Genomic DNA, 13,770 nt, shown 5'->3' on the forward strand with positions numbered 1-13,770 from the left:
CTACAGTTCTCAAGTTGTAGAACTGCAATTCTAACCCACTGAGCTCTTTTCACCACTCAGGATTATAGTAGTTTGGAATTGCTCTGTATCACATACTTATCATTACTAAAATATATGTTTGATGCTATAAATGTCCACTTAATTTCAAAATCTGAAATCCGTATTGCTGAGCTCTCTTCTCAGAGAACAGCAGTGCACAGTGATTAGCACAATGAACTCCAAAGCTGGGGAGTCTCTTTTCCAATCTCAGCTCTGCCACTTAAAGCTGGGGAGTCTCTTTTCCAATCTCAGCTCTGCCACTTACTTTGGGTATAGCCTGGGGTAGTGTCTTAAATTTTCTTTGGTTCTGTTTCTTTATCTCTAGGATGGCGCAGATAATAGTAACACTTATATTAAGGGGCCTCTGTGAGCCTGCATGATGCCCTTAGGACAACTCCTGGTGAACAGTTAAGCACTCAGAAAATGAGACCATTTAGCAATTCTCAGGGGATTGAGCATTCTCTGTATTTGAGCATTCTCCTGGGCCTTGGTTTATCTCAATATATTCTCATGTTTTTTATTTATACATTGAACAAAGGCTTACTCAGACCTTCCAGGTGGTTGCTGCAGTGCATTCATTGGTGATATGCACACCAATAAACACATAACATAGCGCACGGAAGAACGGCATGACCAACATTTGCTCAGCTCTTTACAGTTTACAAGGACATGTAGTATTTACAGTGCTAACTGTCACATGCTATTTTAGACTCACATACGTAAGCTTGAAATGCTTCAGTGGCCAAATCCAAGTTGAGAATGTTGGAAATAGTGTAACAAGAGGCAAACCAAATGGGTTGTTTGCCTCCTTTCTTTTCCTAATGTTTTTATTGATGTAAAATACACATAGCATAAAATTTTCCATCTTAACCATTTTTAAGTAAAGAATGTAGTGGTATTAAATACATTCATAATATACAGCCATCACTGCAATCCCTCTCCATAACTTTTTTCATGTTATAAACTGAAACTCTCTACCCATTAAACAATAATTCCTCATTATCCCCTTCTCCAAGTCATTGGCAACCACTGTTCTGCCTTCTGTCTCTATGATTTTGACTACCTCATACAAGTGGATTCAGACAGTATTTGTCTTTTTCTGACTGACTTATTTCATATAACAATGTCTTCAAGGTTTATCCTTCTTATAGCTTATATCAAAACTTCCTACTGCTTGAGGACTAAGCTCAGATTTTTTTATCTTACCAAATTCCTGCCTAAGGGGTTTAGGGAGTCATGCCCTACAAACCATAAATTCTCATCAGATGGGTTTTATTTGACCCTATATATTGTGACTTACTTTTCAGTCTGACACTGGCATAACATTATGAGACAAGGGAAAAATATTTTACCCCAAAATATATTTCCTTGCCATACTTTGAAATTGCTCTGCAAAGTCTCTTGTGGGAAAAATTCACATTCTATAGAAAATCCGCTTCCCCTTTTGTTTTCCTTCCTTTCTTTCCAAATCCAGGAGATAATCAAGTAAGAGCCAGGCACCCTTTTAAGTCTGAGTAAGAAACAATTTAAAAACTGCTCTCTCTGAAGTCAGCTGAGAGCTTCCTCTGCACGATAAAACTTGGTCTCCACAATCCTTTATCTTTAACCTGAACATTCCTTTCTATCCCTATGGATCCCATGTCTTTAGACAAACTCAACCAATCGTCAACCAGAAAATGTTTAAATTTACCTATAGCCTGGAACCCCCACCCCTGCCCCCCTGTAGCTTTGAATTGTCCCACCTTTCTGAACCAAATCAATGTATTTCTTAAATCTATTTGATTGACATCTCATGCCTCCCTAAAATATATAAAGCCAAATTGCACCCCAACCACCTTGGACACATGTTCTCAGGACCTACTAAGGGCTGTGTCATGGGCCATGGTCCTTCATATTTGACTCAGAATAAATCTCTTAAAATATTTTACCAAGTTTCACTCTTTTTGTCAACAGCTTTAAGGCTGAAAAATATTCTGTTGTTTGTATGTTTCATGCGCGTCCGTGTAAAGAGACCACCAAACAGGCTTTGTGTGAGCAACATGGCTGTTTATTTCACCTGGGTGCAGGTAGGCTGAGTCCGAAAACAGAGTCAGCAAAGGGAGATAAGGGTGGGGCCGTTTTATAGGATTTGGGTAGGTAAAGGAAAATTACAGTCAAAGGGGGTTTGTTCTCTGGAGGGCAGGAGTGGAGGTTGCAAGGTGCTCAGTGGGGGTGATTTTTGAGCCAGGATGAGCCAGGAAAAGGACTTTCACAAGGTAATGTCATCACTTAAGGCAAGGACCGGCCATTTACACTTCTTTTGTGGTGGAATGTCATCAGTTAAGGTGGGGCAGGGCATATTCACTTCTTTTGTGATTCTTCAGTTACTTCAGGCCATCTGGGCATATATGTGCAAGTCACAGGGGATGCGATGGCTTGGCTTGGGCTCAGAGGCCTGACATTCCTGCCTTCTTATATTAATAAGAAAAACAAAACAAAATAGTGTTGAAGTGTTGGGGCGGCGAAAATTTTTGGGGGGTGGTATCGAGAGAGAGAATGGTCGATGTTTCTCAGGGCTGCTTCAAGCGGGATTAGGGGCGGCGTGGGACCCTAGAGTGGGAGAGATTAAGCTGAAGGGAGGTCTTGCGGTAAGGGGTGATATTGTGGGGATGTTAGAAGAAACATTTGTTGTATAGAATGATTGGTGATGGCCTGGATACGGTTTTGTATGAATTGAAAAACTAAATGGAATAACAGAAGGAGAAAAACAGGTATAAAAGGTCTAAGAATTGGGACCACTTAGGATATCTGATTAGAGAGTGCTTAAGGAGATTCGGCATAGTCCTGCCAGCAAAGATCAAAGAGAGGCTGGGACGAGGGGTGCAGGGGAATAGTGGAAAAAGGCATCTTTAAGATCAAGCACGGAATAGTGAGTTGTGGAGGAGGGTATTGAGGACAAAAGAGTGTACGGGTTGGGCACCACAGGGTGGATAGGCAAAACAATTTGGTTGATAAGGCGCAGATCCTGAACTAACTTGTAAGGCTTGTCTGGTTTTAAGACAGGTGAAATGGGGGAATTGTAAGGAGAGTTTATAGGCTTTAAAAGGCAATTTTGTAGCAGGCGAGTGATAACAGGCTTTAATCTTTTTAAAGCGTGCTGCTGGATGGGATATTGGCGTTGAGTGGGGTAAGGGTGATTAGGTTTTAATGAGATGGTAAGGGGTGCATGATCGGTCGCCAAGGAGGGAGTAGAGGTATCTTATACTTGTGGGTTAAGGTGGGGGGATACAAGAGGAGGATGCAAAGGAGGCTTTGGATTGGGAAGAAGGGTGGCAATGAGATATAGCTGTAGTCCAGGAATAGTCAGGGAAGCAGATGATTTAAAGTGTCTCAGCCTAATAAGGGAACTGGGCAGCTGGGGATAACTAAAAGGAGTGCTTAAAAGAGTACTGTCTAAGTTGGCACCAGAGTTGGGGAGTTTTAAGAGGTTTAGAAGCCTGGCCGTCAATACCCACAACAGTTATGGAGGCAAGGGAAACGGGCCCTTGAAAAGAAGGTAATGTGGAGTGGGTAGCCTCCGTATTGATTAAGAAGGGGATGGGCTTACCTTCCACTGTGAGAGTTACCTGAAGCTTGGCGTCCGTGATGGTCTAGGGGGCTTCCGAGGCGATCAGGCAGCATCAGTCTTCAGCCACTAAGCCAAGAAGATCTGGGAAGGAGTCAGTCAGAGAGCCTCGGGCCAGAGTTCCAGGGGCTCTGGCAGTGGCTGTCAGGTGAGCTGAACAGTCCGATTTCCAGTGGGGTCCCGCACAGATGGGACACGGCTTAGGAGGAATCCTGGGCTGCAGGCATTCCTTGGCCTGGTGGTCAGATTTCTGGCACTTGTAGCAAGCTCCTGGGGGAGGAGGTTCTGAAGGAACACCTGGCCTCTGCGGTTCAGGCGTTTGGAAGTTCTTGTATGCTAGAGATGTGGCTAGGGTTTGTCTCACAGTGGAGGCGAGGAATTGCAACTTTTTTTTTTATTATTGTACACCTTGAAGGAGAGGTTAATTAAGTCCTGTTGTGGGGTTTGAAGGCCAGATTCTAATTTTTGGAGTTTTATTTAATGTCCGGGGCAGATTGGGTAATAAAATGTATATTGAGAATAAGACGGCCTTTTGACATTTTACCGTCTAGGGCTGTAAAGCATCTCAGGGTTGCTGCCGAACGAGCCATGAACTGGGCTGGGTTTTTATATTTGATAAAAAAGAGCCTAAATGCTTCTGATTTGGGATAAAGAAAAAGGAGCATTAACCTTGACTATGCCTTTGGCTCCAGCCACCTTTTTAAGAGTAAATTGTGGGCAGGTGGGGGAGGGCTAGTCAGAGAATGAAACTGTAAGCCGGACCAGGTGTGAGGAGGGGAGGCGATAAAAAGATTACAGGGTGGAGGAGCAGAGGCTGAGGAAGAATTGGGACCTAGCTTGGCCTGGCAAGGAGGGGAGAGGTCAGATGGGTCTGTAGAAAAGGAAGATTAGAAAGACTCAGCTACGCTTGGGGTTGGGACTGAGGGGACAGGTGGGAGGGAAAGAAGGAAGATTTGGGACGAGTTGCACTGGGCACAGAGACTAGGAAGGGACTGATGTGTAAAAGAATGCCTGGACATCAGGCACCTCAGACCATTTGTCAATTTTAGGACAAGAATTATTTAGATCTTGTAGGATGGAAAAATTGAAAGTGCCATTTTCCGGCTATTTGGAACTACTGTCGAGTTTGTATTGGGGTCAAGCGGCATTGCAGAAGAAAATAAGATGCTTAGATTTTAGGTCAGATGAGAGTTGAAGAGGTTTTAAGTTCTTAAGAATATAGGCTAAGGGAGAAGAAGGAGGAATGGAAGGTGGAAGCTTGCCCATAGTAAAGGAGGCAAGCCCAGAGAAAAGAGCAGAGACACGGAGAAGGGGTGGGGGGTTCTTGCCCTCCAGAAAAGCAGAGAAAGGGTTGGGGCATGGAAATAAGGAATTGGGGCACAGAGATAAGAGGGTGGGGCACAGAAATAAGGGATTGGGTGTTCTTGCCCCCTAGAAAAGCGGGACTTGCCGCTAAGGGTGAAGGAGAAGGGGTTGAGGGGTACTTGCCCCTCCCCCAGAAAAGCAGAGAAGGGGTAGAGACAAGGAGAGAAGGGGTTGGGGTACTTGCCCCTTCCTCAGAAAAGCGGGACTTGCCACTAAGGGTGAAGGACCAAGGCAGGTGTCCCTGCTTGGTCTGACACCTTTGAAATGTGTGTGAATAATCAGAGAGGTGTCCCTGCAAGGATTAAATACCAAGGGAAGGCTGCCTTCCCAGTCCGTGACCGCCGCCGGAGTTTTGGGTCCACGGATAAAACGTGTCTCCTTTGTCTCTACCAGAAAATGAAAGGAATTGAAATTAAGAGAAGGGAGTGATTGAAGTGTGGCGCCAAGATTGAAAGGAGAAAGAGGTTGAAGGATAGTGAGGGAAGCTGGAGAAGAGAGTAAAAAGAGGCCGCTTACCGGATTTGAAATTGGTGAGATGTTTCTTGGGCTGGTCGGTCTGAGGACCTGAGGTCGTAGGTGGATCTTTCTCACAGAGCAAAGAGCAGGAGGACAGGGGATTGATCTCCTAAGGGAGGTCCCCCGATCTGAGTCACGACACCAAATTTCATGCGCGTCCCTGTGAAGAGACCACCAAACAGGCTTTGTGTGAGCAACAAGGCTGTTTATTTCACCTGGGTGCAGGCGGGCTGAGTCCAAAGAGAGTCAGCAAAGGGAGATAGGGGTGGGGCCGTTTTATAGGATTTGGGTAGGTAAAGGAAAATTACAGTCAAAGGGGGTTTGTTCTTTGGCGGGCAGGAGTGGGGGTCGCAAGGTACTCAGTGGGGGAGCTTTTTGAGCCAGGATGAGCCAGGAAAAGGACTTTCACAAGGTAATGTCATCACTTAAGGCAAGGACCGGCCATTTACACTTCTTTTGTGGTGGAATATCATCAGTTAAGGTGGGGCAGGGCATATTCACTTCTTTTGTGATTCTTCAGTTACTTTGGGCCATCTGGGCGTATACATGCAAGTCACAGGGGATGCGATGGCTTGGCTTGGGCTCAGAGGCCTGACAGTATGCACCATATTTTGTTTATCCATTCATTTACCAACTGATATTTGGCTTGCTCCTACATTTTAGCTATGGTGAATAATGCTTCTATCAAACATGGTTGTACGAATATATCTTAAATACCTTCTGTTCAATTATTTTAGATATATACCGAGAAGCAGTATTGCTGGAACATATGGTAACGAAATTTTTAAATGCTTACTTTTTGAGGAACTGCCATACTGTTTTCCACAGTGGCATAACCACTTGACATTCTCTCTGCTACAGGAAAGAGGTCCTGATCCAGACACCAAGTGAAGGTTCTTGGACCTGGCTTAAGAAAGAATTCAGGGTGAGTCCATAAAGTGAAAGCAAGTTTAGTAAAGGAAGGCCGGGCGCTGTGGCTCATGCCTGTAATCCTAGCACTTTGAGAGGCCAAGGAGGGTGGTTCATGAGGTCAGGAGATCGAGACCATCCTGGCTAACAGGGTGAAACGCCATCTCTACTAAAAATACAAAAAATTAGCCGTGCGTGGTGGCGGGCGCCTGTAGTCCCAGCTGCTCGGGAGGCTGAGGCAAGAGAATAGTGTGAACCCAGGAGGCGGGGCTTGCAGTGAGCCAAGATCGCGCCACTGCACTCCAGCCTGGGCAACAGGGCAAGGCTCTGTCTCAAAACAAAACCACAAAAACAAACAAACAATAAAAAAAGAAAAAAGAAAAAAAAGAATAAAAGAATGGCTCTTCCATAGACAGAGCAGCCCCGGGGGCTGCTGGTTGCCATTTTTATGGTTATTTCTTGATGATATGCTAAACAAGGGTTGGATTATTCATGCCTTCTCTTTTTAGACCATAAAGCAACTTCCTATCATTTCAATGGCGTTTGTAAACTGTGTGGATGACCAGAGATCACTCTTGTCACCATCTTGATTTTGGTGGGTTTTAGCCAGCTTCTTTGCTGCAACCTGTTTTATCAGCAAGATCTTTATGACCTGTATCTTGTGCCAACCTCCTATCTCATCCTGTGACTTAGATGCCTTAACCCTCTGGGAATGCAGCCCAGTAGATCACAGTCTTATTCAAGATAGAGTTGCTCTGGTTCACACACCTCTGACATCAACAACAGAGTATAAGGGTTCCAATTTTTCCACATCTTTGCCACCACTTGTTATTTTCTGTTTCTGTTTGTTTGTTTGTTTTGTGAGACTGGGTCTCTCTCTGTCACCCTGTCTGGAGTGCAATGGCATGATCTCGGCTCTCTGCAAACTTTGCCTCATGGGTTCAAGGAATTCTCCTGCCTCAGCCTCCTGAGTAGGTGGGATTACAAGTGCCCACCACCACGTTCAGCTAATTTTTGTATTTTTAGTAGAGATAGGGTTTCACCCTGTTGACCAGGCTGGTCTTGAACTCCTGACTTCAGGTGATCAGCCTGCTTTGGCCTCCCAAAGTGCTGGGTATTTTTTTTTTTTAAATAGTAGCCATCCTAATGGGTGCAAAGTGGCATCTCATTATAATTTTGATTTGCATTTCCCTAATGATTAGTGAGTTTGAGCTTTTCATGTGCTTATTGGCGATTTGAATATCTCCTTTGGAGATGTGTTTATGCAAGTCCTTCACCAGTTTTTGAATTGGGTTTGCTTTTTGTTTTTGTTGAGATTTATGAATTCTCTACATATTGTGGATATTAATCACTTATTAGACACAAAACTTGAAAATGTTTTCTCCCGCTCTGTGGGTTGCTTTTTTACTTTGATGATACAGGTTTTTAATGCACATTTTAAAAAAAACTTAATGACATACCATTTGTCTACTTTTTTTGTTGTCTATGCCTTTGTTGTCACATGTAAAAAAAAAAAAAAAAAAAAAAAAAAAAAAAAAAAACTTGGCCAAATCAGTTGTCCTGAAGAGTTGCTCTATTTTCTCCTAAGTGATTTCTAGTGTTAGGTTTTAGATTTAAGTCTTTAATCCATTGTACATTAATTTTTGTTTACAGTATTAAGTGAGAATCCAACTTCATTCTTTTGCATATGAACATCCTGTTTCCTAACAGCATGTGTTTAAAAGACTGTCCTTTCCCAAAAGAATTGTACTGACACACTTGTCAAAAATGATTTGACCATATATGTGAGGGTTTATGTCTGTAATCTCTATTTTATTAAATTGATCTATATATTTCTCTTTATGCCAGTGCCACATGGTTTGTTAATATTGCTTTGTAGTAAGTTTGTGGCAAGTATGAGTCCTCCACTTTTATTTTCTTTTTCAAGATTATTTGGTATTTTGGGATCCCTTTAGATTCCATATAAATTTTACGACTTTAAAAAAATATTTTCAAAAAGCGTTATTGGGATTTTGATAGGGATCGCATTAAATCTGTAGATTGCTTTGCATAGTATTGGCATCTTAACAGTTGTATCTCTTCTGATCCATGAGCATTGAATGTGTTTTCATATATTTATCTCTTATTCAATTTCTTCCATAAATGTTTTCTAGTTTTCATTGAAGAAGTCTTTCACTTCGTTGGTTAATTTTTGAGTATTTTATTCTTTGATGCTATTGTATATAAATCTATTTTCATAATTTATTTTTCAAGTTACTCATTGTTAGTGTATAGATATGTCAATTATTGTTGTGTTAACTTTGTATCCTGCTCTGCTGAATTCATTTATTAGTTCAAACGGTTTTTGTGTGAAATCTTTAGGAATTTCTAAATATAAGATTATATCATCTGCAAACAAACTTAATTTTATTTTTTCCAATTTAGATGCCTTTTATTTTTTTTCCTTGCTGAGTTGCCCTGACTAGAACTTCCAATACTATCTTGAATGTCAGTGGCAAAATCAGGAATTCATGAGTATAGAGGAAAAGCTTTCAGTCTTGCACCATTTAGTATGATGTTTGCTATGAGTTTTTCACGTGCAGCATTTATTACATTGAGGTAGTTTCCATTTATTCCTAGCTTGTTGAGTGCTTTTGTCATGAAGTGGTGTTAAATTTTGTCAAATGCTTTTTCTGCATCGATTGAGATAATTATGTGGGTTTTTCCATCATTCTAGTAATGTAGTGTATTGCATTGATGAATTTGTATGCTGAAACATCTTTGCATTACAGAAATAAACCCCACTTGGTCATAGTGTAAAATCCTTTAATATGCTGGTGAATTCAGTTTGCTAGTATTTTGTTAAGGACTTTTTTTTTTTTTTTTTGCATCACTGTTTGTAAGGAATATTGGTCTGTGGCTTTCTTTCTTGCTGTGTCTTTGTCTGCCTTCAATATCAAGATAATGCAGACCTCATCAAATCAGTTTGGATGTCTTCCTTCTTCAAGTTTGAGAATTATTGATGCTAGTTTTTTAAATGTTTGGCAGAATTACTCTGTAAAGCCATCATGTCCAGGGCTTTTCTTTGTGATGAGGTTTTGAATACCGACTCATTTTTTTCTTCTTTTTATAGATTTATTGGGGCTTTCTATTCATCTTAATAGGTTTTGTGTTTCTAGAAATTTGTCCTCTTCATCCAGGTTATTCAATTTGTTGGTATAAGTTATTCATAGCATATTATCATAATTCTTTTTATTTCTGTATGATAGATAGTAATATTCCAATTTTCATTTCTAATTTTAGTAATTTCACTCATCTCACTCTGTGTCTCTTTTTTAAAAAAATGTAATTAATTAATTAATTAATTTTAGTCCATCTGGCTAAATGTTCGCCCAATAGTTGCTATTTTCAAGGAACCAACTGTGGTTTCAGTGATATTCTCAATTTTTTTTAATTTTCTATTTTGCTTTGTCAGCTGTAATATATATTATTTCCTTTCTTCCAAGAGCCTTGGGATTAGATTGTTCTTTTTCTAGTCTCTTAAGTTGTAAAGCTAAATTGTTAATTTGACGTCTTTGTTGTTTTTTAATGTAACCATTTACATCTCCATTTTTTTCCCTTAACACTGTCTTTGCAGCAGCCTTTAAATTTTGATATAATGTGTTTTTTGTTTTCATTCATCTCTAAGTATTTTTTAATTTCCCTTGTTATTTCTTCTTTGATAGTTTAAGAATATGTTGTGTGATTTCTGTTAATACAAATTGGTGAATTCTCCAGTTTTACTTTGACTAATGATTTTTAACATAGTTTTGAGGTCAAAGATGAAGCCGTGTATGTTACCTCTCTTTTAAAATGTGTTGAGACTTAATATGTGGCTCTCCATATGGTTTGTCCTGGAAAATGTCTCATGAGCATTCAGGAAAGCGAAACGTGTATGTTCAGTCTGTGTCCTTCAGATCTTGACAGTTCATTGTGTTAAGTCCTCTATTTTCTTACTTCTCTCTGGTTGTTCTATCTATTATCGACAGTGGGGTATCAAGTTGCCAACTACTGCTGTAGAACTGTCTATTTCTTCCTTTAGTTCTATCATTTTTCATTTTGTATATTTAGATGCTCTCTCATTAAGTGCCTAAGGTTTTATTATTGTTGTTACTTGTTGTATTGAACCCTTTATTAACATATAATATACTTCTTTGTCTTTTGTAACCATTTTTTGCTTTTGACAAAGTCAGTGTGTTTTATTTGATATTGGTATAGTTACCCTGCTCTCTTTTGGTTAGTAATAATATAACACACTGAAACCTCCACCTCCTGGGCTCAAAAAATTCTCATGCCTCAGCTATCCAAGTAGCTGGCATTACAGGTGTGCGCCACCACCCCAAGTTAATGTAATGTAATACCTTTTTCTATCCTTTTGCATTGAATCATTGTGTCTTTAGATCTAAAGTGAGTCTTATAGACAGCATATAGTTGCATCATATTATGTTATCCATTCTGCTAGTCTCACTTTGTCACCCAGGCTGGACAGGTGTGTAGTGGCACAATCTCAGCTCATTGCAATCTCTGCCCCGCAGGTTCAAGAAATTCTTTTGCCTCAGCTTCCCGAGTAGCTGGGATTATAGTCATGCACCACTACACCTGGTTAATTTTTGCATTTTTAGTAGAGACGGGGTTTCACCATGTTGGCCAGGCTGGTTTCAAACTCCTGACCTCAAGTGATAAACCTGCCTCGGCCTCCCAAAGTGCTGGGATTACAGGTGTGAGCCACTGCACCCAAACTCTTTCTCATTTCCTTTTCCTGAATATACTGTATAACTATTTTATTTGTGCTTACGATTTACAAATTTGTGAATATATTTAACATTCTAGAGTTATCACTCTATCTCAAATGTATACAAGCTTAACTTCAATGACATACAACAACTTTGGTCTTTTGTCTGGTCTGCTCTGTCCCCCACCTTTTCAGTTGTTGATGTCACCCAAAACATAAACTAAGAATAGTTTTAAATGCATAAGTCACTTAAATTATGTAGAAAACAAAATATGGAGTTAAAATTTATAATCCTACTAGAATTTAAAGTACTTATTTTTTTAAAGTATTCATTTTTTTTTTAAATCTTTTATTTTGAGACAGAGTCTCACTATGTTGCCCAGGCTGGAGTGAAGTGGCATGATATCGGCTCACTGCAACCTCTGCCTCCTAGGTCAAGCAATTATCGTGCCATGGCCTCCTAAGTAGCTGGGATTACAGGCACCCGCCACCACGCCCAGCTAATTTTTGCATTTTTAGTAGAAATGGGGTTTTGCCATGTTGCCCAGGCTCGTCACTAACCCCCTTCTCAAGTGACCTGCCTGCCCCAGCCTCCCAAAATGCTGGGATTATGGGTGTGAGCCACTGCACCCATCTGTATCAGTCTTTTAAATCATGTAGAAAACAAGAAGTGATGTTACAAACTATTGTTAAAATAATGTTGCTTTTATATTTGCCCATGTATTTACCTCTATTGAAATTTTTTACTTCTTTTTATGGCTTCTAGTCACTTTCTAGTGTCCTTTAATTTTATCCTGCAGGACTCTCTTAAGCATTCCTCTCGGGGAAGGCCTGGTAGTAACAAATGGCCTCAGCTTTTGCTTATCTGGAAATGTCTTAATATCTTTTTTACCTATGAAGGGCACAGTTTTTCATTCATACATCATAATTGTACATTTTTTATGGGATACATGTGATATTTTGATACATGCATTCAAAGTATTGTGATAAAACCTGGGTATTTAGGATATCTATCATCTCAAACATTTATTATTTCTTTGTGTTTACAGCATTCCAAATCTTCTCTTCCAGCTATTTTAAAATACACAAGAAATTATTGTTAACTTTTGTCACCCTACTGTGCTGTTGAACACTTTTCTAACTGTATTTTTGGACCCATTAAACAATTCTCTTTATTACTCCTCCTTCCTATTCTTTGCAACTGCTGGTAACCATCATTATACTCTCTACCTTCGTGAGATAATTTTTTTTTAATTCCCACATATGAATGAGAACATGCGATATTCATCTTTCAATGCCTGGCTTATTTCATTTACATAATGCCCACCAGTTCTATGTTGCTACAAATAACAGCATTTCTGTCTTTTCTACGGCTGAATAATATTTCATTTTATATATATAAAAAAAAAATTTCTTTATTCATTCAACTGTTGATGAACACAAGCGGCTTCCACATCTTGGCTATTATAAATAGTGCTGTAATAAACATGGAAGTACAGATGTCTCTCTAATATACTGATTTCCTTTCTTTTGGATATATACCCAGCAGTTAGACTGTTGAATTTTATGGTGATTAATTTTTTTTAATTTTTGAGGAAGCTTCATGCTATTTTCCATTGTGGTGTACTAATTTACAATCCCACCAATGACATATGAGCATTCTTTTTTCTCTTCATTCTTGCCAACATTTCTTATTTTCTGTTGTTTTGATAATAGCTATTCTAACTGGGATTACATGATATGTCATTAAGGTTTTGATTTGCATGTCCCTAATGATTAGTAATGTTGAATATTGTTTAATATATCTTTTGTCCATTTGCATGTCTTCTTTTGTAAAATGTATTTTCAGGTAATTTGTGCATTTTAAAGTTTTTTTAAATTTTTATTTATTTATTTAATTTTTTGCTGTTGAGTTGTTTGAGTTCCTTGTATATTCTGGTTATGAAGCCTTTGTCAGATAGATAATTTGCAAACTTTTTGTCCCACTCTGTAGATTGTCTCTTCATCCTGTTGATTGCTTCCTTTGTTGTGTAGAAACTTTTTAGCTTGAAGTAATCCCATTTGCCTATTTTTGCTATTGTTGCTTATGCTTTTCAGGTGTTATAAAAAATATTTGCCCATACTAATGTTTTGAAATGTTTCCCCAAAGTTTCCCTCTAGTAGTTTCCCATTTGCAAGACTTACACTTAGGTCTTTAATCCATTTTCTATTTGGTTTTTGTATATAGCAAGAACTAGGAGTCTAGTTTCTTTTGCATATGCTAGCACTATTTATTGAAGAGACTGTTCTTTCCCCAATATATGTTCTGGGAACCTTTGTCACAAATGAGTTGGCAGTAAGTGTGTGTATTTATTTCTGAATTAACTGTTCTGTTCCATTGGTCTGTATGTCTACTTTTATGCCAATAACATGCTGTTTTAGTTACTATAGCTTTGTAGTATACTTTGAAGTCTGATAAGCTGATGCCTCTAACTTTGTTCTTCCTCAGGATTGATTTGGCCATTTGATGACTTTTGTAATTCCATACAAATTTTAGAGTTACTTATTTTATTTATGTGAAAAATGCCATTGGCATTTTAATAGGGTC

General features: G+C 39.3%; 3 annotated features.

Moving 5' to 3' along the window:
* Positions 1,397–2,108: an enhancer, noted in NCBI's record as "NANOG-H3K27ac hESC enhancer chr4:180086998-180087709 (GRCh37/hg19 assembly coordinates)". NCBI's record gives its function as "activates a minimal SCP1, AML or CMV promoter by ChIP-STARR-seq in naive and primed H9 embryonic stem cells {active_cell/tissue: H9 hESC(naive and primed)}" and the evidence as "EXISTENCE:reporter gene assay evidence [ECO:0000049][PMID:30033119]".
* Positions 2,109–2,819: an enhancer, noted in NCBI's record as "OCT4-NANOG-H3K27ac hESC enhancer chr4:180087710-180088420 (GRCh37/hg19 assembly coordinates)". NCBI's record gives its function as "activates a minimal SCP1, AML or CMV promoter by ChIP-STARR-seq in naive and primed H9 embryonic stem cells {active_cell/tissue: H9 hESC(naive and primed)}" and the evidence as "EXISTENCE:reporter gene assay evidence [ECO:0000049][PMID:30033119]".
* Positions 5,664–6,374: an enhancer, noted in NCBI's record as "OCT4-NANOG-H3K27ac-H3K4me1 hESC enhancer chr4:180091265-180091975 (GRCh37/hg19 assembly coordinates)". NCBI's record gives its function as "activates a minimal SCP1, AML or CMV promoter by ChIP-STARR-seq in naive and primed H9 embryonic stem cells {active_cell/tissue: H9 hESC(naive and primed)}" and the evidence as "EXISTENCE:reporter gene assay evidence [ECO:0000049][PMID:30033119]".

This window comes from Homo sapiens, chromosome 4, assembly GCF_000001405.40.
Source record: "Homo sapiens chromosome 4, GRCh38.p14 Primary Assembly".
NCBI classification, from domain to species: domain Eukaryota; kingdom Metazoa; phylum Chordata; class Mammalia; order Primates; family Hominidae; genus Homo; species Homo sapiens.